General features: G+C 42.2%; 1 protein-coding gene and 2 pseudogenes across 2 annotated transcripts in view, besides 2 other annotated features; all 3 read left to right on the top strand.

Annotated features, from left to right (window-relative positions):
* Nucleotides 1,772-2,343: an enhancer, noted in NCBI's record as "H3K4me1 hESC enhancer chr2:88302842-88303413 (GRCh37/hg19 assembly coordinates)". NCBI's record gives its function as "activates a minimal SCP1, AML or CMV promoter by ChIP-STARR-seq in naive and primed H9 embryonic stem cells {active_cell/tissue: H9 hESC(naive and primed)}" and the evidence as "EXISTENCE:reporter gene assay evidence [ECO:0000049][PMID:30033119]".
* On the top strand, nucleotides 1,927-2,658 carry LOC100419917 (lysine-rich coiled-coil 1 pseudogene; annotated as a pseudogene).
* Nucleotides 2,344-2,916: an enhancer, noted in NCBI's record as "H3K4me1 hESC enhancer chr2:88302269-88302841 (GRCh37/hg19 assembly coordinates)". NCBI's record gives its function as "activates a minimal SCP1, AML or CMV promoter by ChIP-STARR-seq in primed H9 embryonic stem cells {active_cell/tissue: H9 hESC(primed)}" and the evidence as "EXISTENCE:reporter gene assay evidence [ECO:0000049][PMID:30033119]".
* On the top strand, nucleotides 12,807-19,939 carry ANAPC1P5 (ANAPC1 pseudogene 5; annotated as a pseudogene).
* The window catches only part of RGPD2 (RANBP2 like and GRIP domain containing 2), a 233,859-nt gene continuing 223,416 nt past the window's right edge, over nucleotides 15,848-26,290 (top strand). Inside the window, exons 1-4 of one of the 2 annotated variants that reach the window (XM_017004845.2) lie at nucleotides 15,848-15,970; nucleotides 16,497-16,557; nucleotides 19,752-19,939; nucleotides 24,877-24,951. In XM_017004845.2, coding sequence (XP_016860334.2) covers nucleotides 16,515-16,557; nucleotides 19,752-19,939; nucleotides 24,877-24,951 — 306 coding nt within the window. In that variant the 5' untranslated portion in view covers nucleotides 15,848-15,970; nucleotides 16,497-16,514. The remainder of the gene's footprint in view (nucleotides 15,971-16,496; nucleotides 16,558-19,751; nucleotides 19,940-24,876; nucleotides 24,952-26,290) is intronic. The other variant, XM_047445734.1, reaches the window with a different exon arrangement.

The following is a 26,290-nucleotide window of genomic DNA, read 5'->3' as shown; positions in this document are numbered from 1 at the left end:
CTTAGCCTTCTGAGTAGCTGGGATTACAGGCGCCTGCCACCACACCCGGCTAATTTTTGTATTTTTAGTAGAGACGGAGTTTCACCATGTTGGCCAGGCTGGTCTTGAACTCCTGACCTCAGGTGATCCGCCCACCTTGGCCTCCCAAAATGCTGGGATAACAGGCATGAGCCACCGCCCCCGGCCCTCTGATGGTTTTGAGCAAAGGATTTTGAGCTCTCTACTGGTTTTGAGATAGCCAGGATGACATCACATTAAAATGGTTATCCTGGCAGCTGGTTTGGAAATAGGCTCATTGAGCAGGTGCTGGAAGACCAGTGAAGGGTGACTGCCCTGATCCAGGGGACATGTGGCACCCTGGCCCAGACAAGAGCAGTTTAAGTAGAAGTGGTCAGATTCTGGACAAGTTTTTTTGTTTTTCGTTTTTTGTTTTTTGTTTTTTGTTTTTTTTTGAGACGGAGTTTCGCTCTTTTTGCCCAGGCTGGAGTGCAATGGCACGATCTCGGCTCACCACAACCTCCACCTCCCGGGTTCAAGCGATTCTCCTGCCTCAGCCTCCCGAGTAGCTGGGATTACAGGCATGTGCCACCACACCCGGCTAATTTTGTATATTTAGTAGAGACGGGGTTTCTCCATGTTGGTCAGGCTGGTCTCGAACTCCTGACCTCAGGTGATCCGCCCGCCTCGGCCTCCCAAAGTGCTGGGATTACAGGTGTGAGCCACCGCATCCCGCCGGCCGAGTTTTGAAAATAGAGCAGTTGGCAGGATCTGCTGATGGTGCTGGCTGTGAGGTGTCGAGTAGTGGGTGTCTCCCAGGAGTTCGAGGCTTCAGTGAGCCGTGATCATGCCATTGCACTCCAGCCTGAGTGACCCTGACTCAAAAAAAAAAAAAAAGAAAGAAAAAAGAAATTAGTAAACTAAAATGGAGGCGAGTTCTCAGAATAAGACTGCTAGTAAAATATTTAATGCTACTTGTCCTCATTCCTGCATCTTAATGAGAACATTAATAGCTACAAGTCACTGGCCACTTGCTGCATCCCTAGTGCTTCAGTTGTAGTCACTGTCTTAGTCCCCACAACACCTATAAGGTTGATACCAATCTCAGAGATGAAAAGCATTCTGAGCTACAGAGTATGACTGAGCAAGCAGGCTCTGAACCCTCTCTCCCTGGGTTTAAATCCTGCCTGTACTTTTTGGCTGTGCGTGACCTTAAGTAAGCAACCCAAATTCTCTGTGACTCAGTTTCTTCATTTGTTAAAAAAAAAAGAAAGAAAGAATAATCATAGTTTGGGAGTTTAACACAATAAATAGCATCTTCCTCTGTTTTTTCACCTCAGCTATTAGATTTAAAATAGATGGAATGTGAGTGACCTGGAAATATGTTTAATTATCTCTCTATTATTTCTTTCTTGGCATATAATAAGCACAGGACTAGCTTGTTCTGTTTTTGTAGAATTTATGAATGATTTTAGATTAATTTAGTTGCTTGTCTATTTTCTTGAAACAACTTAATTTTCTTTTTTTATCACACAAGTGATAGTATTTTTGGCAAAAATCCAGAACAATTAAGTAAGACTAAAATTATCTAAATTCCCCCTACACCTGGGGTAACCACTGATAAATCATATGCCTATCTATATGTGTTATATTTATTTATTTTATATAGATCCTCAAATGTACACAGTGTTTTAAGGCTCATTTTCTTAGTCCATTATATTTCATGATTCTCAGTCTATGTCAAAAATATTTTCAACATCAGTGACTATGTAGTACTTACAGTATATTACATAACATAACCTCCCCTAGAAATTGGAGTCTGATCTTTTTTTTAGGACACACAAAAAAAATCATAGCAAAATAATACATTTAACAGAAAGCTTCCCCCCATTTTCCCTAACAGATTCATCCGTAATCAATATAATGGAAAATTCTAAGACTTCTGACTCTTTTCAACATGAACTGGAGGATTATATTAGAAAGCAGAAAGCCAGAGGATTGCAACCAACCCTTTGCTTTACAAAGGTGACGGAGGACTCCGCGTGCCAAGAAAGGGGCCCCACTGAGCCTCGGGGGCCGGAGCAGCAGGGACTCCCCTTCTGGAGGCCCCACGTGTTCCCCGCTTCCTTGGAAAGACTGAGGACCGTGGAAAGCCGGGTACCTCCCTGGCCTGAAATTCCTTATGCGCCACGAAGACTGGAATCTGTAAACCACAGTCAAAATAATCAGGACCATTTCTTCAAACTCCGGTGGCTTCCAAGCCCATCTGGGCAGGGAGAGAACACAGGCGTCCGCGGGGCGCACGGCAGGGAAGGTTCCTGTTGCCTCTTCTGGGAGCCCCGCGGCAGCGCCCAGCAGGCGGACCGTGGGGACCGAGGCCTGAGGAGGAGGCACGGGGAGGTGGGAGGACGAAGAGCGGCCGGGGAGGAGCAAGCAGAGCCCAAGAGGAAGCACCGCGCGAAGGGAGACTCACACAAAGGGAACAGGGGCAGGAGGAAGGCCGAGGGGGCGCCAGGCAGTGCAGAGAGGCCCAGACGCAGCAAGAAGAATCACCAGGGTGGGGATGCCGCAAAAGAGGTGAGAAGGTCTGGGAGAGAGAAGAAGGGGTCAGGCAGGGAAGGCCCAGAGGAGAGGGACCTGTGGGATGAAGCCATCCTCGGCAGTTGTTACTGATGACTGCGGACTGGGGGCCCCAGTATTAAATCATTTGAATCCACTGGAAAGGATGGATTAGATAACACTGAAGCAGTTAAATGGCCACCTGCTTGGAAGAAAATAAAATCTAATCGGCACCTCACACTCTTATTCAAATATTAAAACCCAGATGGTTTACAGATATATGTGTAAAAACTAAAATATAAAAATATTCAAAGAAAATATGGGAAAAGTATTTTAAATCTTGAAGTATGGATGGCCTTCCTAAATAAAACACAAGCCAGAAACCATCAAAGAAAAATTAATAGATGTAACTGCCGAGATATTTTAAATTTGTGTAAAGTGGAAGATTTTGTTGTAAAATTTGTAAAATGGAAATTTTAAAAATAAAGCATTGTATGTGTGCATCAAACAGCTCTGAAAGATACACAATGCACTGATAACTGTGGGTTCTGGGATCAGAGAACTGAGTGGGTGGGGAACAGGTTGCAGTTGACTAACTTCTTTTTTTTTCTTTTCTTTTTTTTTCTTTTTGTTGTTGAGATGGCATTTTGCTCTGTCGCCCAGGCTGGAGTGCGATGGTGCGATCTCGGCTCACTGCAACCCCCGCCTCCTGGGTTCAAGTGATTCTCCTGCCTCAGCCTCCTGAGTAGCTGGGATTACAGGTGCCCACCACCATGACCGGCAAATTTTTGTATTTTTAGTAGAGACGGGGTTTCACCACGTTGGTCAGGCTGGTCCCAAACTCCTGACCTCGGGATCCACCCGACTTGGTCTCCCAGAGCGCTGGGATTACAGGTGTGAGCCACTGCGCCCGGCTTTCTAATAAATACTTTTAAAGACAAGCAACAAGTTGGGGAAAATTTTATTTGCCTCACTGTGAATATCCCTGTGCAAGTTACGGAATTATTTGCCTCTGAGCTCCAAGCAGTCTTTTTGCTCTGCAAAACAGGACCTTAAAGGACGCCTCTGGTTTGCCAGCTGGCTTGATGCTAGTCTCTGCCAGTAGAGGGCGCTGGAGGGTCATTGTGAAGTGGCAGGTGGAAAAACTTTGCCTAAGTTGGCCCTTTTCTTGGGGGGGGGGCGGGCGGTGTCCATCCGTCCTCGTCCGTGTCCGTGTCCTGTGTCCTCTAACAAATTTCTTTGTCCTTGGTGGACTGTGTGACCTGGTTTTCTCTGCAGAGGTCTGAATCTCAGTTGTAGGGGACAGACCCTCTTCCAAGTTTCTCAGTTCCTTGTTCACCACCCCTCCACCCCATAGATAGGGCTTGGAGGGCCGGCACACTACCACCTGCAGATCAAATCCAGCTTTTTTACTGCCCTCGATCTGAGAAGATTTTACATTGGAACCTCAACTAGGCAAAATGTTATCCCAGCAAAATGGATCCCATTCTTTTCATTAATAGGACGTTATTCCAAAACGTGTACTCATTATTTTATTTTGAATTTCATGTTTAAAAAAATGTGGACATTTGCTTCTGTGTTGTTATATGAGGACCTGCCTAATGTCTTTGATTGTGCCTCTTGCCTACAAAGCCTAAAATATTACCTATCTGGCCCTTTACAGAAAAAGTTTGTCAGCCCCTGCCTTATAGTCCTCTTGAACCACTTACGATAGTTAACCGTCTTTTATCAGCTAAGAATTCTTGGCCTGGCGCGGTGGCTCACACCTGTAATCCCAACATTTTGGAAGGCCGAGGCAGGCGGATCACCTGAGGTCGGGAGTTAGAGACCAGCCTGGCCAACGTGGTGAAACTCCGTCTATACTGAAAAAAAAAAAAAAAATTAGACGAGTGTGGTGGTGGGTGCCTGTAATCCTAGCTTGTCAGGAGGCTGAGGCAGGAGAATGGCTTGAACCCGGGAGGCAGAGGTTGCAGCGAGCCAAGATCGCGCCATTGCACTCCAGGCTGGGTGACACAGTGAGACTCCATCTCAAAAAAAAAAAAAAATATTTTCCAGGCTGGGCACGGTGGCTCTTGCCTGTAATCCCAGTACTTTGGGAGGCCAAGGCGGGCAGATCACTTGAGGTCAGGAGTTCAAGACCAGCCTGGCCAACATGGTGAAATCCCATCTCTACTAAAAATACAAAAATCAGCCAGGCATGGTGGCACACGCCTGTAATCCCGGCTATTTGAGAGGCTGAGGCACGAGAATCACTTGAACCAGGGAAGCAGAGGTTGCAGTAAGCTGAGATCGCTCCACTGCACTCCAGCCTGGGTGACAGAGCAAGAGTCTAACTCAAAAAAAAAAAAAAAAGAATTCTTTTCTGTTTGTTTGAGACAGGGTCTCCCTCTGTTGCCCAGGCTGGAGTGCAGTGTTGAAATCATAGTTCACTGCTGCCTCCAGCTCCTGGCCTCAAGTCATCCTCCCACCTCAGCCTCCCAGGTAGCTAGGACTACAGGTACAGACCATCACCCCCAACTAATTTTTAAACATTTTTTGTAAAGATGGGGGTGTCACCATGTTGCCCAGGCTGGTGCTGAACTCCTGGCCTCAAGCAATCCTCCCGCCTTGGCCTCCCAAAGTGCTGGGATTACAGGCATAAGGCTCCACACCCAACAACATTAATAATTCTTTTTTTTTTTTTTTTGAGATGGAGTCTCGCTCTGTTGCCCAGGCTAAAGTACAGTGGAAAAAGGAGGGTCTGGAGGGAAGGATGGCTCCTGCCCTTGTCCAGGGAGCTGGGCAGGCATGTGTCTGGGCTGAGTTCTGGCTTCCTTGTCCCACAGGTGGCTCAAGCTGCCTGACCCGCTGACAGAGTTCTCTTCCTCCCAGGTAGGTGTCTAGAGCAGAATTGGCCAGTGTTGCTGCTAGTTCTGATTCAGGTAGAGCGGGACCCACCTCCTGGGTCCCCTGATTCATAGGATACAGATACAAGTGTCTGTGTACATTGGGTATAAGGTGACTAAACGGTGGCAGGATGCCTCTGCTTGGGTTGTCCTTAAGGCAGGAATGGTGAGAAGCAACCCTGGAGCTGGAATAAGGAGGTGGGGGGTAGGGAGATGCTCTGCCTGCCTTTTGGAATAGCCTCTGAGAACATAAAGGAAAACAAACTCTGTTTTCCCTGTACTCTCACAGCATGAAATATTTCTGTGACCTCAGATGTATGGGAGTTTTTCCCCACATGTCAATCCTCCAGGAGGTGACACCAGCTGAGTGTTCGCTAATTAAATTCAATTCTTTGGGGTTTTTCGTTTTTGTTTTTGTTTGTTTGTTTTTTTGAGACAGAGTCTTGCTCTCTCGCCCAGGCTGGAGTGTAGTGGCGCGATCTCGGCTCACTGCAAGATCCGCCTCCCGGGTTCATGCCATTCTCCTGCCTCAGCCTCCCGAGTAGCTGGGACTACAGGCGCCCGCCACCACGCCCAGCTGATTTTTTTGTATTTTTAGTAGAGACGGGGTTTCACCATGTTAGCCAGGATGGTCTCGATCTCCTGACCTTGTGATCCGCCCGCCTCGGCCTCCCAAAGTGCTGGGATTACAGGCTTGAGCCACCGCACCCGGCCTTGTTTGTTTGTTTTTGATACTGAGTATCTCTCTATCACCCAGGCTGGAGTGCAGTGGCGCGATCTCAGCTCACTGCAACCTCCACCTCCTGGGTTCAAGTGATTGTCATGCCTCAGCCTCCCGAGTAGCTGGGATTACAGGTGCCTGCCACCATGCCTGGCTAATTTTTGTATTTTTAGTAGAGACGGGGTTTCACCATGTTGGCCAGGCTGGTCTTGAACTCCTGACCTCAAGTGATCCACCCACCTCGGCCTCCCAGAGTGCTGGGATTACAGGCATAAGCTATCACGCCCAGCCTTAAATTCAATTCTGACACTACTTACCTGAGAAAGTGTCAGATCCCACAGGCTGAGGGCTCAGTCCCACAAGACTATCTCCCATTTCTGATGCCAACCACAAGCCCCATGTCGTTTTACCTGTGCTTCTGACCAAGTGGTTAGAAATTGGAGTTCTTAAGCCCACCTCCTTGGGTTTAATTAATTTGCTATAGTGGCTCACAGAATTCAAGGAAAAACTTACTTACATTTACTGCTTTATTATAAAGGATACTACAAAGGATATAGATGAAGAGATGCATGGGGTGAGGTTTGGGGGAAGAGGCTTGGAGCTTCCATACCCTCCCTGGCCTGCCACCTTCCAGGAACCTCCATGTGTTCAGCTGTCCAGAAGCTCTCCAAGCCCTGTCCTTTTGGGGTTTTTTGTTTTGTTTTGTTTTGTTTGGAGTCTCGCTCTGTTGCCCAGGCTGGAGTGCAGTGGTGCCTTCTTGGCTCACCGCAACCACTGCCTCCTAGGTTCAAGCAATTCTCGTGCCTCAGCCTCCCTAGTAGCTGGGACTACAGGCACACTCCACCACGCCAGGCTAATTTTTGTGTTTTTAATAGAGATGGGGTTTCACTATGTTGGCCACGCTGGTCTCACGCTCCTGACCTCGTGATCCGCCCACTTCAGCCTCCCAAAGTGCTGGGATTACAGGCGTGAGCCACCGCACCTGCTTTTGGGTTTTTATGGAGGCTTCACTACTTAGGCGTGATTGATTAGATCATTGGCCATTCGGTGATCAACTCAACCTTCTGCCCCTCCCCCTCCCTAGAGGTTGGAGGGTGGGGCTTACATTTTTAGTCCCAACCCTCTCATCCTGTCTTGGTCTTTCTGTGACCAGCACCATTCAGAAGCTATCCAGGACCCCCAGTCATCAGTCAACCTAGTAGCATACAAAAAGACTTATCACTTTGGAGATTCCAAAGATTTTCGAAGCTATATCTCAGGAAACAGGATGAAGACCAAATATATATTTCCCAAATCATACCCCCTTAACTTCCCACCACCAAGTGGCTGATTTGCCCTCGAACCTGAAAAGCTCAGAACTGGTCATTTCCCCAATAGGTGACCAGGCCTGCCAGCCCAAGGGCTCTGACCCAATGAGCTTTGTAACATCCTAAGTGGAAGCTAGTCCACGCCATTCAAAGGTTTATTAATACTGTGGATCATTCTAGAACTGAAGGTCCCTCTGAAGAATCAACACTCTAGGTTGCAGGGTCCTAAGGAAAAGAGACTAGAAGGAGTAGCCACATGCAAAATTTCACCCTGGTGCAGTTTTATTCATGGTTCAAACAAAAACTCAGAGTGGTTTTGTTATCAGGGTAAACAAACTTGTAATTTTACTTTCCCCAGTGTTAGGAAAGCTCCTTCTGCACTGTGAATGCTGAGCCATGAGTATTAATTAGGTTGTGAACGTGTAGAACATTAAATAGACATGCAAACTTGTGTGTCATGCAAACATGCAACAATGTGTGTGCAAACACATTGATGTGCAGCTCCCATTCACAATCACAGACATGAACACTGGGAAATAAAAGTAAATTACTAAGCCCCCCAACCAACTGAACAGATCCCATCTTGGCCAAGGGGACCCCAGAGAAAACATAAAAACTAAGTTTCTAGCCATGACAGGATGGGACTTTAGACATACCTCATTGTACTACCCCACCCCACCTCGCTAACTGCCACTAGGCTTTCCTCCCTAAGGGTTAAACAAAAACCGGAAACCAGAAAAAAGATTCTCTGGCTAGGCTCAGTGGCTCATGCCTGTAATCCCAACACTTGGAGAGGCTGAGACAGGGAAGCATTGCTTGAGTCCAGGAGTTTGAAATCAGCCTGGGCAACATAGTGAGACCCCATCTCTACAAAAAAAATTTAAAAAAATTAGCCGGGCAAGGCGAGGCACATGGCTCATGCCTGTAATCCCAGCACTTTGGGAGGCTGAGGCAGGTGGATCACCTGAGGTCAGGAGTTTGAGACCAGCCTGACCAATATTAGGAAACCCCGTCTCTACTAAAAATACAAAAATTAGCCAGGCATGGTGGCATGTGCCTGTAATCCCAGCTACTCAGGAGGCTGAGACAGGAGAATCACTAGAACCCAGGAGTCAGAGGTTGCAGTGAGCCAAGATCACGCCATTGCACTCCAGCCTGGGCAACAAGAGCAAAACTCCGTCTCAAAAAAAAATTAGCCGGGCATGATGGTACATGCCTGTAGTCTCAGCTACTTGAGACGTCGAGGTGGGAGGATTGCTTGAGCTGGGGAGATAGAGGCCGAGGCTGCAGAGCTGTCATTGCACCACTGCACTCCAGCCTGGGCAACAAAAAGAGACTCTGTACCGCCCCCCACCCCCCCGCCAAAAAAAAAATATGCTCCACTGCTAACTTCAACCAACCATGTGACTGGTTCTCCATTTTGTAATTTCAACACTGACCAACGTTCCTTCCTGATAAGAAACCACTGCCCACAGGAGTGGTTCTGGCCAGTCTACAGAGGTTGCACACAGAGGGCCTTCATGTCCTCTGCTTCACCTTTTGATGTATAGGGCCTAATTGTAATACATTAGGTTAACCATCTGTGACAGTTAATATTAGGTGTCAACTTGATTGGATTGAAGGATGCCTAGATGGCTGGTAAAGTCTTGTTTCTCACTGTGTCTATGTTGCCAGAGGAGATTGACATTTGAGACAGTGGACTGGGAGAGGAAGACCAACCCTTAATGTGGGTGGGCACCATTCAATCGGCTACCATCTCGGCTAGAAGGAAGCAGGTGGAAGAAAGTGGGCTAAGCTGGCTTGCTGCGCCTTCTGGCTTTCACCTTCCTCCCAGGCTGGATGCTTCCTTCCACTCCTCCTGCCCTTGGACATCAGACTCCAGGTTCCTCGGCCTTTGGACTCTTGGGCTTACGTGAGTGGTTTGCTGGGGGCTCTTGGGCCTTTGGCCACAGACTGAAAACTGCACTGTTGGCTGCCCTGCTTTTGAGGCTTTTGGACTGGGACTGAGCCACTACTGGCTTCCTTCTTCCTTAGCTTGCAGATGGCCTATCATGGGACTTCACCTTGTGATCATGTGAGCCAGTTCCCCCTGATAAACTTCCTTTCATATATACATATATCCTATTAGTTCTGTCCGTCTGGAAAGCCCTGACTAATACAACATCTAAAGTTGAACATAGGATGCATGTTGCATTCATTAGCCTACTATGCCTGTGCTTCCTTTTCATGAATATTCATAGCTCCTCTTATAACCTGTTGAATATATATACATGGCCAACCCACTCAGAGTAAATTGCTGTTTCCTTAACCCCTCCCTTGAAGGGCTGCTGGCTACAGTCCATGCTTCCTGACCTGTCAGAATGGCCACCTGCAGGCTGCAACCCTTTATGAGAAATAAAGCTCTCTTTTCTAAACTTATGAACCTTGTCATTTGTCAGGTGACAACATAGTGATACACATACACACACAGCAACCTCTAGTCCGTCAACCTGAAATAATCAAAGGGATTAGAATAGAACTTTGAAGGGCTTATTTAAGCACGAAGTTTGAGGACATCTACCTGGGAAATCAGGACAAAATATCAACATAAACAGGAATTTGGAAGAACTTGATTCCAACCCTCATGGGTGACTTTGAGGGGCTCAAAACTTTAGTGGAGGAAGTCACTGCAGATGTGGTGGAAATAGCAAGAGAATTAGAATTAGAAGTAGAGACTGAAGATGTGACTAAATTGCCAAGATCTTATGATTAAACATGAACAGAATTGCCAAACTTGAACAGAATTGCCAAAATCTTATGATCAAACTGGAAGAGTTGCTTCTTCTGGATGAGCAAAGAAAGTGGGAACATACAGAAAACAAACATTAAATGGCAGATTTAAATCCCACTAGGCCACTAATTAAATACAATGGTCTAACACAAATAACAGAGACTAGCAGAAGAGATTAGAAAATATAGCCCAACTATATATGTTGGTTATAAGAAGTGTTCTTCAAATATAATGACATAGGTAAGTTAAAGGATGGAAAGAAGATATATTATGCAAACAGTAATCAAAAGATAGCTGGAGTTGCTATAAAGTGGGGAAAAAAAAATGACCAGGAACAAAGAGAGGCTTTAAAGGGCTATATCACCAAGAAGGCACCCTTGAGTATTTTGTAAATGTCAGTTCATTCCATTTTGTTGATAATGTTGTTCATGTCCTCTCCATCCTTGGCAATTTCTTTTCTCTTCTTTTTTTTGATACAGTATCTCGTTCTGTTACTCAGGCTGGAGTGCAGTGGTGGCATCACAGCTCACTGCACCCATGACCTCCTGACTCAAGCGATCCTCCCACCTCAGCCTCCCAAAGTGCTGGGATATTACAGACATGAGCCACCACATCCAGCCTGGCAAACTTTTTATGTAGGAGTTCAGACAAGTAACTTAGCCTCTATGGGCCACATGCAGTCTCTATTACATATTTGTCTTCTGTTTTTTTTTTTCCTTAACCATTTAAGTACATAAAACCTATTCTTAGCTCACAGACTGTACAAAAACAGGATACAAGCCAGATTTGGTCATGGAACATGGTTTGCTGACCAAGGATCTAAATAGATGCAGAGAAATCATTTGATAAAATCAAATATCCGTGATGAAAAAAAACCTCAGCATCTAGAAATAGAAGGGGACTTCCTCAAATAGACGAGGGACATTCAAAATTTTCACTGTGCCTCCTGATGAGGAGGAAGGGACGGCCATGACTTTTTTCATAGTGTTTGTAAAGAGTAGGGCAGATATAGTGAAAAGTTTCTGTCCTGGTCGGTCATTCTTTTCCCAACACTTTGGCTGGAAAGAGTAAGATTTTCTTAGGGCGTGTTTTGTCTGTGAACGTTGGCATGTCTGCGTTATAGGCACTTTGAAAGCCTGAGGCCTGGTTATGTAAGGAGTCAAAAAAACCAGAAACCTAGGGAATTCATCATTAGGTCATTCCTGGGTCTCAGGTTACTAGCCAGTTTGTCTTCTTTTCTTCACTTTTTCAGAATCTTCTGTTAGTTGCATTATAAATTTTATTCAGTTTTTTTTTTCTTTTTGGTGATTAATGAGGGAATAGCATGGTATGTGCTTATTCCATCTTTTCGTAAATTAGGGGTTTGAGATAGCTTTTAAAAAATTATGCATAATTAGTTCTCACTGTTATTTTTGTTTTTTAAGCCTAAGGATTTTATTGGGGCAACTTCTGTTATTTTGTTAGCTGTTGAGTAGTGTGTTAACATGAATATGTACATTGTTAAGATCTCATTTTAGTTCTGAGCATCTCCTTTTTAGTCTTATCAAGTTTTCAGCCTGTACAGATGTGAATTTCTGTTTTTGCTAAGTACCCTACAGATAGCCAAAATAAGGAGTGGTTAGCACGGATTGTCAACTCATTCTTTTTTTTTTTTTTTTTTTTTGAGACAGAGTTTCATTCTTGTTGCCCGGGCTGGAGTGCAGTGGCGCGATCTCGGCTCACTGCAAGTTCCGCCTGCTGGGTTCACACCATTCTCCTGCCTCAGCCTCAGAGTAGCTGGGACTACAGGTGCCTGCCACCATGCCCGGCTAATTTTTTTTTTTTTAATTTTTAGTAGAGATGGGGTTTCACTGTGTTAGGCAGGATGCTCTTGAACTCCTGACCTTGTGATCCGCCTGCCTCGGCTTCCCAAAGTGTTAGGATTACAGGCGTGGGCCACCGCACCCGGCCGCTGTTCTTACTGTCTTTATGACCAATAAGGTAGAAGAGTACATAGTGTACAGATTTTTGTATAATGTGCTGACTATATTAACATTCCTCTCCTTGCCTTCCAAAAAAGTCTTCAGTAATGAAGAGAAGGAATCCAACCAAGAGAAATTATACCAAGGTATGAGAGGTCTAGGTGGGCAGATGGCTTCAGCCCAGAAGTTCAAGACCAGCCTGGATAACATGGTGAAACCCTGTCTCTACCAAAAAATACAAAATTAACCAGGCATAGTGGCATGTGCCTGTAGTTCCAGCTACTCAGGAGGCTGAAGTGGGAGGATCACTTGAGCCTGGTAGGTTGAGGCTGCAGTGAGCTGAGATCATGCCACTGTACTCCAGCCACAGGGAAAGAGTGAGATCTTATCTCAAAAAAAAAAAAAAAAGAAATTATACCAACATATTTGCAGTTGGATAGTGGAATTGGATAGATTATTGACATTTGAATTGTTTCTTTGCTGTGTTTGGTGAGCATAAACTTAGAAATATCAAAAGAAATATATGTTTATATTCCTTAACATTTTATTTAAGGATGTGATGCATTAAAGGCAGTATTTTTTTTTCACATGTTTTTATTGCTTAAAGGTGGGAAAGGTTTTTATTCCTGGACTGCCAGCTCCCTCTCTGACGATGTCCAACACAATGCCTCAGCCCAGTACTTCACTTGATGGCGTTAGTGCTCCAAAGCCTCTTAGTAAACTCCTTGGATCATTGGACGAGGTAAGAAAAGGACTAGGTGCTGCCAAAAAGTTAACATTTTTTAAAGAAGTTTGGTTAAACATTAGTTCTTTCCATGGTTAACTTAATTTTAGTTTCTACTTGCAGAATAAATGTTTTCAAACAGAAGTGATTCAGTTAACATACACTGACCTCCCTTGTGATGTATGTGATACTTTTTGAAGGTGCTGGAGAGATGGAAATGATACATTCTTTTCCATCTAGGGATCTCACAATTGTGTGGAGTTGATGTACTGTCTGCATAAGAAATTAGAATTTAAGAAAGACTCATGACTCAGTAATGTGGAAAAGAGAGTACCATCGTTGATTGACTGATGGGAAGATAACATCCAATGGGAGGACATGGCAAAATCAAAGCCTCATCTCTGAGAGACATGTCAGTCTTCGTTTGGACCTTGGGGATGAGTAGGATATCTGTAGGTAGAAAGGAGCATTCAGGGCAAGGAGAAACTCCACAGGCACAGGCAGGAAGGCCAGATAATGCGGAACATTTTTTAATGGATATTTGTATCTTCATCTCCTAGTCATAAGGACTGAATAAATCTGTAGAATAAATACTTATAAAAGTACAAGTAGTCTGTAGGGTGAGGCAGGATAGGGATTGGATAACAATAATAACCTTTTTTGAGCATTTTCTATGTGCTAGGCATTGTTCTCAGTGCTTTATTAGTAATAATTATTTCCTTAGAACAGCTTTATTGAGAAGATAGTACTATGATTCTTTTTTTTACAAATGAGATAGAGGTTACAAATGAAATAAACCTACTAAGTGGTAGAACTGGGATTTACACTCTTACTAATGTGCTCTTAAAGGGAGAAAGGATGAAAATGTGGTTTTCTTCTGAATGCAATTGACAGGGCATTACAGGATTTTGAGAAAGGAGTTATGAGGTTTTGGATCTGTGTTGTAAATAGGTGTATTTTGGGATTCAAGATAAGGAGACCAGTTAGCCTCCAAGTGAGGTTGTCTGTGTCAGTTTAAGAAGTATGAAGAGGGTCTGAGCTAGGGCAGTATATGTGTGGAAAGGAGGGATTAATATGAGAGGCCTTGAGAGGTGGAAATGAGTTTGTCAGCTGATTGGTTTTGTGCTGCTGGGCTGGGGAAAGGTGATGTGGAAGGAGGCTCCGAATTCTCTGAACGACCTGGGAAGGTACCTGGATTTACCAAGTTAGGAAGCCTGGAGAAAAGTGGTTTGTATTTAAAGGACATGTGAGTGTGGATGTTTAGGGACGGTTCAAAGGGAAGGTTAGTGCTATCTGTTGTATTTGATAATGTCTATGTCTTCATTATATTTTTAAACATGTGCCACATTGAATTTTTTTTCCTTCAAACCAGCACATTTGCAGAACATTCAAAGGGGGAACTGGAGAAGTGTCAGAGTGTTTTGTGTGATTTGGAAGAATTTCTTTTATAATGGAAAATGGTTTCCAGCTTTTTTAGAATTCTATAAGCCTGGTAATAGTGCCTTTTTGATAGGTGTAAGGTCATGGAAATGATAGTCTGACACATTGGCTGATGGCTTTTCCACTTCTCTGGAAGATTTTGCTAGTAGACTTAGAGCCAGGACCAGTGGAGCTGAATTTTTCCTGGTGACTTTTAGAGTAGAATCTGGAATAGAATAAATACATCTTAGTCTTGATTGTCAGTGTTGACAAGATATTCACTTAGAGATATATAAATTGAATTAAAGGAATCAAAAAAGGATCAGTGGTCATGACTAGAGATTAAGATTGGAAGCATCTGCATGTAGATAGTAACTAAGACCATTTAAATTTTTTGTTTGCATATCTGCAGTTAAGCAAATAAATGCTGTTCCTGTATTTTTGAATAAATAATTGCCTATAGGGGAAATACCACTAAATACTGGTCTCATTTGTTGGCTTTTTCATTACTGTCCTTTCTTCCTGGGCTCTTAGTTCCTCAGCTGCCTCAAATCACAGTTTAGTTTTTTTTTTTTGAGATGGAGTCTTGCCCTGTCATCTAGACTGGAGTAAAGTGGGGCAATCTCACCGTACTGCAACCTCCACCTCCTGGGTTCAAGCGATTCTCCTGCCTCAGCCTCCCAAATAGCTGGGACTACAGGCACCCACCACCACACCTGGCTAATTTTTGTATTTTTAGTAGAGGTGGGGTTTCACTATGTTGGCCAGGCTGGTCTTGAACTCTTGACCTCAAGTGATCCGCCCACCTCAGCCTCCCAAAGTGCTGGGATTATAGGCATGAGCCACCGCGTGCCCCGGCTCACAGTTTAGTCTTTAGCCCTGTAAGGTTGCTAACAGTGCTGCTGGCTTCTCTCCCTCTTAGCTATGACTTTCCTTGCATATTGTCAGCCTTTCCATATGTTCCTCTTACCACCAAAATTTGCAGATGGCCAGAGCAGAAAAAGCAAGGTTCTCCAAGAACGTTGGCCCCTTTCCCTGCAGTTGCCTTCTCTCCTAGATCTTGGTCCCTCAAGTCCAGGTTGCTTCCACAGCTTTTCCACAGCCACCAATCAGATGTTTTCCTTTTACCTACCTTTTCTAGCTGTTTCCTGTGAGGACCTTGGTTTGCTGGTACTTCATTGTATCTGGAACAAAATGTTTTAAAGAGCCTGGGTCTTGCCGTGTCATCCAGGCTGGAGGGCAGTGACTATTCACAGGCTCACTACAGCCTCAAATTCCTAGGCTTAAGTGATTCTCCTGTCTCAGTCTTCTGAGTAGCTGGGACTATACAGGTGTGCACCACCATGCTTGGCTTGGAGCAGAATGTTTTTGAATCATTACATATTATTGTTTGTTAGACCATATGCAAAAAAGAAATAGTTAAATTTCCTTGTCCTTAATTTCTCAGAAAAGAATTCATTTGTATTGTATTTACGACTTTTTACAGGTTCTTCTGTTGTTCCCAGTTCCAGAACTGAGGGATTCTTCAAAACTTCATGATTCTCTCTATAATGAGGATTGTACTTTCCAACAGCTTGGAACTTACATTGATTCTATCAGAGATCCTGTCCATAACAGAGTCACCCTAGTAAGTACAAACATTTGGTAGCTTTCCAAGAAGTGGGCTGGCATTTCAAATTTGACAGAATACAGAATTTTGTCTGAAAAATGACAACAAACATTTCTCATGATTTAAAAAAATCTATTGTGTCATTTTTTGGCACTATTTTACTTTTTACTATACAGTAATTCTGCTTGTTTTCTACAGTTTCTGTATTATTAAAAACTTCATGAAAACAAAAGCTTGTTGAGTCAGTTGAATTGTATATTGATGTGATTTTTTGTCATCTCATTAAAACTAAATGTCCTTTTGATGATGGTGACTCACTGTATAAAGATTAGACACTTTTTATTAAAACAAGCATTTTGGAAAACATTTTGCAAATAATTACATTTAAAGTTTCTGAAGTTTGGAAGTGTTCATTTCTGTTTGAAAATTGTTTTTCATTTATTTTATTGCTTTGATGGGCAAAGTCTTGTACCAGCTATTTTTAAGACATTCAAAGACTTAGAATGCACAGATTTTATTTACTTTCTCATTTGTTTCCATCTAGGAACTGAGTAATGGCTCCATGGTTAGGATCACTGTTCCTGAAATTGCCACCTCTGAGTTAGGTACGATTGAGAAGTTTCATTTATAAGACATGAAGTAATTGTGATTTACATTAATAACTGGGGTTTTAAACATTATTTTGCCATTTTTGAAGCCACTGGATCAAGTTCTTAGCTTTGTAGAGGAGCTTTAAAGAGCTAGGGAGTGCTTTGTGATGTCCACTCTATGTGTGCTCTAAGGCTGGAGTACAGGTGAAGGATGTGCTAGTTCTGTTCCCTGAGGTTCTTCTGTTGGGGAATATTGTGCAGTATAATAATATATGGACATGCCTGCTGGGCATGGTGGCTCACACCTGTAATCCCAACATTTTGTGAGACTGAGGCAGGTGGATCGCTTGAGGTCGGTAGTTCGAGACCAGCCTGGCCAACGTGGTGAAACCCTTTCTCTACTGAAAATACAAAAATCAGCGGGGTGTGGTGGTGCACTTCTGTAATCTCAGCTACTTGGGAGTCTGAGGCAGGAGAATTGCTTGAACCCAGAATGCGGAGGTTGCAGTGAGCCAAGATCGTGCCACTGCACTCCAGCCTAGGTGATAGAGTGAGACTCAGTCTCAAAAGAAAAAAAAAAAATATATATATATATATATTTATATGTATATATATGGACATGCCTCTTGCAAGAACATCTGGGAAACTGGAAGCCTAAGCGACTAAGATAATTCTTGGCATATTTAATGTTTTTTTTCTGTAATGTATTAATGATGTTTTTAATTTTAAAATAAATATCTCAATTTTCAGATAAATTGTGAAAGTAACCTAATTGCCTTAATTGAATAAAACTTAATATTATTGTCAAAATACAATCAGAATTATCTTAATAAATATTGGATTCTGCTTGAATTATTCCTGAGATGCAATTTCAAAAATGCTAGAGGAGAATATTTCTGAACATAGCTTAGTAAACAAAATGTTAGAATTGAAGGGATTTGCCAACAAACGTAGGTTAAGAAAAGAATGCCTGTATGATATAAGGAAGTTCATGACATATCTTGGTTTCCAATCTAACTGCCAAAGCAGGACATTGGCAGATTGTAGACAAGAATGACTTTTTCATTTTAGGAATCTTCACTGCTGGTAAATGGTATTCCAAGTTGCTATAGAGATTCCTTGCCTTCTAAAAGGTATTTCGTAATCACAAGGCCAGGTACCTAGAAGTATGATAAGCCTAAGCAAAATATATAAAAACAAATAATAATGGAAGAAATTAAATAAATAAAAACAAAAAATCTTACCCCTTTATAGCCAAATAGAAGCCCCATAGTTTATGCACATAAGTTTATGTACTTTACCTGCAAAGGGTTCTCACACACTCATGCAGCATTGGGTTTACACTTATTTTGGATTCAGCTATGACATACTTGGTTATATGGTATTTTAATATTATTTGCTTCCAACCTGTGCTGTGTGAGTTTGCATATTGCAAACTGACGGGATAGAGGATATGCTGATGAGGGTGGGCCCAGTGGCATGACAGTGGAAAGGGAAAAAAGAATCCTGGAAGAGAGGATATGTGAGTACACAAACATTGCAGTTTGGGATTATTTACTACTAAAAGCAGATTTGGGTCTCTTCACAGTGGTAGCCCTGGCCACTCTGAGGGGATCATTGTATGACAGTGTAGTGCTATAATTGATGTGGAGCCACTGAGAATGGTATAAGGCCAGGTGTGGTGGGCTCGTGCTTGTAATCCCCTCCCTTTGGAAGGCTGAGGTGAGGGGATTGCTTGAGGCCAGGAGTTTGAGACCAGCTTGGACAACATAGTGAGACTCGGTCTCTACAGAAAGAAAAATAAAATCAGCCAGGCATGCTGGCATGCATCTGTAGTCCTTGCTACTTGGGAAGCTTGAGCTGGTGGACCACTTGAGCCCAGGAGCTGGAGGTGACAGTGAGTTATAATTGCACCACTGCACTCCAGCCTGGGGACAGAGGAAGACCCTGTTTCCGCTTACCAAAAAAAGAGTGTTGTAAATTATGTGGTATCAACTCTTAACCCTTTTAAGGCAGAGAGCATGTGAAACATTTTAGAAACTGAATGACATCAGAAATAAAGTTATAAAGCTTTGGTTAATAGGCATGTTAAGTCATTTAGAACATCATGTAATGCTAGCTAAGCATTGCTATTCGTGGATGCATATATTGAATATTATATATTTACTGAAGTATGTAGGCAGTATTTTATATAAATGTATAAACATAGAAGTTGTATGTTTTTCATAGTGATTTTTTTTTTTTTGAGACAGTTTCGCTGTAGTCATCCAGGCTGGAGTGCAATGGCGTGATCTTGGCTCACTGCAACCTCTGCCTCCCGGGTTCAGGTGATTCTCCTGCCTCAGCCTCCTGAGTAGCTGGGATTACAGGTGCCTGCCACAATGCCCAACTAATTTTTGTATTTTTAGTAGAAATGGGGTTTCACCATGTTGGTCAGGCTGGTTTCGAACTCCTGACCTCAGGTGATCCACCCACCTTGACCTCGCAAAGTGCTTAGATTACAGGCGTGAGTCACCATGCCTGGCCCATAGTGACTTTTAATTTGTCACCCGAGCTAGAACATCTTTAAGAGTGAAGGGGAGCAGTTAGTAATTGCTGGGCAATGGATGTAAATCAGGACTGTCTCTGGCAAACTGGGCTATTTGGTTACTTTATTTCTGATGCAAAATTAATGATCAAAAAGCTGTCCTTGGCTGGGCACAGTGGCTCACACCTGTAATCCCAGTGCTTTGGGAGGCCAAGGCGGGTGGATCATGAGGTCAGGAGTTTGAGACCAGCCTGGCCAACATGGTGAAACATGGTCTCTACTAAAAATACAAAAATTAGCCTGGGGCAGTGGCAGACGCCTGTAATCCCGGCTACTTGGTGGCTGAGGCAGGAGAATCGCTTGAACTCAGGAGGCAGAAGTTGCAGTGTGCCAAGACCGCACCACAGCACTCCAGCCTGGGCAACAGAGCGAGACACTCTCTCAAAAAAAAAAAAAAAAAGCTGTCTTCAGACCCCTTTCAAGCCCTGTTGAATTCAGTAGTTGGTTTTAGTTTCAGATGATGGGTTAGGTAATGCTTGCATCTCATTGGCTCTTTAATGACAGTTTTCTTTTCATAATAATTGGCCTTTACATAGTAGAAGTTAAAAAAACTTGGTTATTGAAAGGGGAAAAGAAATGCATGCAGAGTAAGAATACTAAAATTAATCTTTGCTTTTAATAGTACAAACATGTTTGCAAACAATTAAGTTTATCCTGCCAAAAGAAATAGCAGTTCAGATGCTTGTCAAGTGGTACAATGTCCACAGTGCTCCAGTAGGACCCAGTTATCACTCAGAGTGGAATTTATTTGTGACTTGTCTCATGAACGTGATGGGTTTTAACACAGACCGCTTAGCATGGACTAGAAATGTAAGTAAATACAATTGTTTTCTTTATGAGTTATTCTGTTAATGTAATGGTTGCATAATTGGTAATATAACATTGAGACTACATAATAGGCGTACCATATTCAAAATAATAGAATGATATTAAGGTTTATTGTATCTATATGTTGTAAATCAAATCTCACTTAATATTTAATATTAACATTTTACTAGTGATTATAATTACTGAGCTTTAGAATGTTAAAGCATATATGACTATTTCTCATTTCACCTTTGTAAAATGACTGCAAGTTATGCTAGGATTAGTGATAGTCTTGGTTTTATTGATGAAGAAACTGGATCACAAAGAAATCACAGATCTGTGATTTTTTAAAAACTATGACTAGACTGCATCTTCTGACTCCTTGTTTAACATTGTTTTCTGAAGATAAGATTGTCTTTTTACACACATATTGCTTGGGATGTGAAGAGGAAGGTTTGATTTGAGGGAGATTTAAAGTACTTTAGCCGAGTACTATACCATCTACTCTGTACTTATACCATCTACTCTGTTAATGGTATAAGGCCTTACCTCTCACCCTCTTCCCCCAGTAACATCCTTACAGGCCCTTATTAGATTATTTACAAAATCAGCAGAGTGGTGTCCTCAGTATTGGTGATCTCCTTCTAGCTTTGGAGATCACTCCCAGGACAACTTTGCCTGGGTCACTCTGAAAAAAAATCACTCTAGACTGTAATTACCCCTTTTCCAGGTAGCTCAGCTGTACCATTCTATATGTTTTAGCCTTGCACACCAAATCCTTTTTTTTTTTTTTTTTTTTTGAGACAGAATGTTGCTCTGTCGCCTAGGCTGGAGTGCAATGGCACAATCTCAGCTCACTACAGGCTCTGCCTCCTGGGTTCATGCCATTTTCCTGCCTCAGCCTCCCGAGTAGCTGGGACTACAGGCGCCCGCCACCACGCCCGGCTAATTTTTTGTATTTTTAGTAGAGATGGGGTTTCACCATGTTAGCCAGGATGGTCTCGATCTCCTGACCTCGTGATCTGCCCGTCTCAGCCTCCCAAAGTGCTGGGATTACAGGTGTGAGCCACCGTGCCTGGCCAGCAAATCCATTTTTAAAACTTGTTTTTTGTCTTAATTATGAAAGGAAAATGTGGAAAATGGAGGAATTAAGAAAATAATTATACTACTCAGAGATAACCACTCTAAATATTTTTGATGTTACCTTCTATATAAAAATACCAATGAAAATTTCCCGTTATCATTAAAAATTTTTTCTAAAATATCTCCATCATTTCTTCATAGTGTAGTTTTATCATAATTAACCAATAGCTAATAATTGTACCTTGTGAATCTGTTGTTTTCGTTATTGTAATTTATAAACATCCTTTTTCACGACTCTTTAACCACATCTCTAGTTACTTCCCAAGAATTGAATCTTAAAAGAGAAACTGTGAGGTCAAGTAATGTTTGGAAAGGGGTTCGCCGGTGCCATTCTTACTAGCATCATTTAAAAGCGCCCATTTCACCACAGTGTTTATTTGTGGTGTGGTGAACCTTTGCCAGCTTCCTGAGAAATTTTATCTTATTTCTCTATAAGTAAATGGGAATGGTTTTTTCAAATTTTCATCAGTTATTTATAGTTCTTATTTTTTTATTCATATTTCATGTCCTTTGTCTATGTTCCAGTCTCTTCTCAGACCAGTGGCCAAAGTAATCCTGTTTGATAACGTCAGGTTGCGTTCGTCACGCCTCTGCGTAGAATCCCCCAGTGACTTCCCATGTCACTCAGAGTAAAGGCCATAGGCTTATAAGATGCCATGTGACCTAGCCCTTGCTCACCTTCCTGGTCTTATTTCTTAATGCTTTGCACGCATCATCCCAGCCACATTGGCCTCAGCTCTGTTCCCTGAGCACTGCCAGCATGTTTCTGCCTCTGAGTGTTTGCACTTGCCATTACCTCTATGGAGAATGCTTTCCCTCCGACAAGACGTGCTTAGGTCTTTATTCAGATGTCACCTCAGTGCTGCCTGTCCTGTCTCTCTCTATAGAATTACACCTGCCTCCATACCTTTAGTGCCATTTACCTGTTTTTCTTTCTTCTCACTTAATTAAATATAATATACTGTATGTTTTACTTATTTTGTTTTGTGTCCCTCCTCCCCCAACTGGAATGTAAATTCTAGGAAGGCAAAGATTTTTGCTTAGTTTTGTTTACTACTCTCTCTCTCCAGGACCTGTGGTATTGCCTGGCATAGAAGGATACTCAGTGAACATTTGTTGAGTGAATGCCATTTTCCATCTGAGTGAGATACTGTTTTTAAGAGTTTGTGTCTATTTCAGCACATGAAGGAATTGCTGTCTGCAATTTCCTTGAGAAAAATCTTATGGGAAAATAGGGACAATTTTCTTTTCCTTTCTTTCCTTTTTTAAGACGGGGTTTTGCTCTGTCATCTAGGCTGGAATGCAGTGGCGCTATCCTGGCTCACTACAACCTCTGCCTCCTAAGTTGGAGCGATTCTTGTGCCTCAGCCTCCCGAGTAGCTGGGATTACAGGCATGCACTTCCACGCCTGGCTAATTTCTGTATTTTTAGTAGAGACGGGGTTTTGCCATGTGGGCTATGCTGGTTTCAAACTCCTGAGCTCAAGTGATCCTCCCACCTTGGCCTCCCAAAGTGCTAGGATTACAGGTGTGAACCATGGCTCCTGGCCTTCTTTTCTAATTTTAAACAATTGTATCCAAGTGACATTATCCTCAATTTTTCTGTTCTTTATTACATGTGAAAAGATTAAGCCTCATAGAAACTGGATTTCTACATTATGAAAAAGCATGTCAGCTTTCTGTAGTTTTGTGTATCATTGTCCTTGGAACTTGTTGATGAGTACAGATTGTTGTGTCCTAGTCTCTGGCAGAGAACCTATGCCCCCTCGCGTTTCCATGTTTTGGGGAGGACTGAGCACCTACCCATTTTTTCCTTTGCAAAGAAGGACATGACTCTTTGACTTACTTATTGCATGATAATTATAAAGGAAGGAATAAGGAAATCAATTCTTGAGGCCAAGTTGCTTTGCCATTTATTTATAGGACTGCGTGGTTAAACCCTTGCTATCTTTTGTCCTCATAGTCAAAGCTTAGGATGAAATGGTCCTCATTGGCAAATGGTTTTCATTTTGCTTTGTTCAGATTTATTCTTTTTGTTTTCACATATATAATGTGGTGGAGTACAGAATTTCTGCCAATGACTCGTTACACAATTTTTGGCATTTCTTTGTGCTTTCTTTAATTTGCTGATGTGTTACATGAGTGCACTGGACTGTACATTGTAGGAACAGTTGCATTTGGGGTTAACTTTTTGTGGCTTTTGGGCTGCTCTTTTTTTCATTAGATAAATATTGAATCCCTGCTGTGGGCCAGGCATGATGCCAGGTTTCTCACATATACCCCAAACAAAACAGATTGTTCCTCTGGAATTGACTGTCTTGAGGGAAACAAATAAGTAATATTTGATACATGTGTTATGATAGATGAAGGGTAAGGGTCCATAGGAGCATATAACAGGGTTGGCTAACCTGAGACACATTGAAAGAGTGAAGATTAAACAGATCCATGTATGGCACAAAGAGCCATCCTTATCAGGCAGTTTCTACTTTCTCATAACTCCAGGCCTTATGAATCTGATAATTATAGCAGGGACATTCTTTTTGACTGTGGGACTTTGTGTGTGTTACATTTTGGTTGAAGTTTTAGGTTAGATAGTTACTGTTATATTTGTTGCTTTGATTTCACTGTTACTACCAGGTTTTTTATAATATATATGAGTTGGGCTGTTTTTTATTTGAATGCTTCACAAGCAAATCTTCTCTCTCAATAACATTCGGTTTTAAAAATCACTTTATTGCTACCTATGTTTAGTTTTTATATAGAAATCAACTCTGTTTAGGTGAGTGAGTTGATAAATATGTAAGTTTTTCAGCATAGGAAAATAGCCATTGCCATTTATAGAGTTACAGTTTATTAGTTGATGGTCAATGCCCATGTGAAGTAGCTGGGGCAGCAAAGATTATGCCAGGGGAAATTGAAGAAGAGCAACTTGCAGAAAACTGCTTTGATGTAGTTGTACTAGTTAAAAGATAGGCTCACTATTGTAATAGAAAGGCCTCAAAAGATACAATGGCTCAAACACAATAAAAATGTCTGTCTTGTTTACATAACAGGGCTTAGCAGATAAACAGGCCACACAGTTATTCAGGAACCCAGGTTGATGGAGGATCTTTTGTCTTCGGTTCAAAGCTTGCCGTTGGTTGACTGCATTCCAGTCAGGTGGAAGGGGCAAAGAGCCTGGAGGAGCAGGGGTAGGACTGGACTGGTCCTGGAAGTGATGACAGTGACTTCCATTTATAATTAACTCTGTCAAAGGGTCACACCTAACTTCAAAGGAGGCAGACGTATGTATGTAGTCTGGCTGTGGGTTCAGTAGAAAGAGGAGAAAAAAGATTTTCCAGAGTAGCTACTTGTCTCTGCCATAGAATTGTTAGATAGTTTACTGTAGGTGGACTGTAAATAAATGTTTGCTTAGTTCTAACATTTGACTGATATTGGGTTGATCCTTTGAGACTTGGTATATTGTGGATATGCCTAAAGTTTCTTTTTCTACCAAAGATGTGATGTAATCTATGTTGTTACAGAAGTAGGAGAGGGAAGGAAACTACCATTAAAATCAGTCCTTAGGAGCCCAGGCACTGTTCTAGATGTTTGCATATATTAATATGATTTCATTTCATCTTTACAGTAACCTGGAAGAAAGATATTTAAATAATGACTTTCCAGATCAAAAAATGAGTTTTGATGGCTTTTCTCAGTTTTCATAATTGGCAGAACTGATTTCTGAATCCTTTAAGTTGATCAGTTGACAGGAATGCATTTATGATTTTTATCTTTTCTTTTGGGGTTACTTTTCAGTTTGACTTTGAAGGATCACTTTCCCCTGTCATTGCACCCAAAAAAGCAAGGCCTTCTGAGACTGGATCTGATGATGTAAGCATTATTATTTCTTGCTAATATAAATTAATTTATGGATATTCATACTATTCTTCCACTTCTGTGGTATTCCTATCAATTCCTCTATCTTTCCAACACCTTTCACTTTATTTATTTTAATACTGAATAGCAATTATTTTGAAGAGTAGGATCTGTTACATTTTCTATGGTCTTTAATGATTATCCAAAAATTAATGTATGTATTACTGCATGATTTCAGTTTGGGTTTGTAGACATTTTATTATCAACTGATCACCTGAAATGACAGCATTTACCTTTTTTATGCAGTGTTTTTTAAATTAAGGTTCTCAATCGTATCAGGTTCCATGGTATATTCCTTTTTTTTTTTTTTTTTTTTTTGAGACGGAGTATCGCTCTTGTTGCCCGGGAGGGAGTGCAGTGGCACGATCTGAGCTCACTGCAATCTCCGCCTCCCAGGTTCAAGCAGTTCTCCTGTCTCAGCCTCCTGAATAGCTGGGATTACAGGCGCCCGCCACCATGCCCGGCTAATTTTTGTAGTTTTGGTAGAGACAGGGTTTCACCATGTTGGCCAGGCTGGTCTCGAACTCCTGACCTCAAGTGACCTTCCTGACCTTGGTGTCCCAAAGTGCTGGGATTACAGGCATGAGCCACTGCACCTGGCCTCCATGGTATTATTCTTAAGTGGTCCAAATATGTTTTTTTAAATTGTGGTGTAATTTACAAAAATGAAATACATCTTGAGTTTACAGTTTGATCAGTTTTAATATATGCACACTCATGTAACCTACACTCCTATATAGACACAGAATATTTTTATAACTCCATAAAATTTCCTTGTGTGGTTTTTTTTTTTTGAGACGGAGTCTCGCCTTATCGCCTAGGCTGGAGTGCAGTGGCACGATGTTGGCTCACCACCTCCTGGGTTGAAGCTATTCTCCTGCCTCAACCTCCTGAATAGCTGGGATTATAGGCATGCGCCACCACGCCTGGCCAATTTTTGTATTTTTAGTAGAGATAGGGTTTCACCATGTTGGTCAGGCTGGTCTTGAACTCCTGACCTCGTGATCTGCCCACCTCGGCCTCCCAAAGTTCTGGGATTACAGGCATGAGCCACTGGGCCTGGCCCCTCTTGCTGTTTTTAATCAGCTTTATTCTCTTCTTCTAGCAATCACTGATCTGAATTCTGTCACCATATCTTAGTTATGCCTGTTCTAGAACTTGATGTAAATAAAATAATATAGTATGTAATCTTTGGTATAAGATTTATTCAGCATAATGCTTTTGAGATTCATTCATATTGTTACAGATACCCGTAGTTTGTGCTTTTTTATTGCTGAGTAGTATGAATATACCA

The sequence above is a fragment of the Homo sapiens genome, chromosome 2 (assembly GCF_000001405.40).
Source record: "Homo sapiens chromosome 2, GRCh38.p14 Primary Assembly".
Classification (NCBI taxonomy): Eukaryota; Metazoa; Chordata; class Mammalia; order Primates; family Hominidae; genus Homo; species Homo sapiens.
This window is presented reverse-complemented; position numbering and strand designations above follow the sequence as displayed.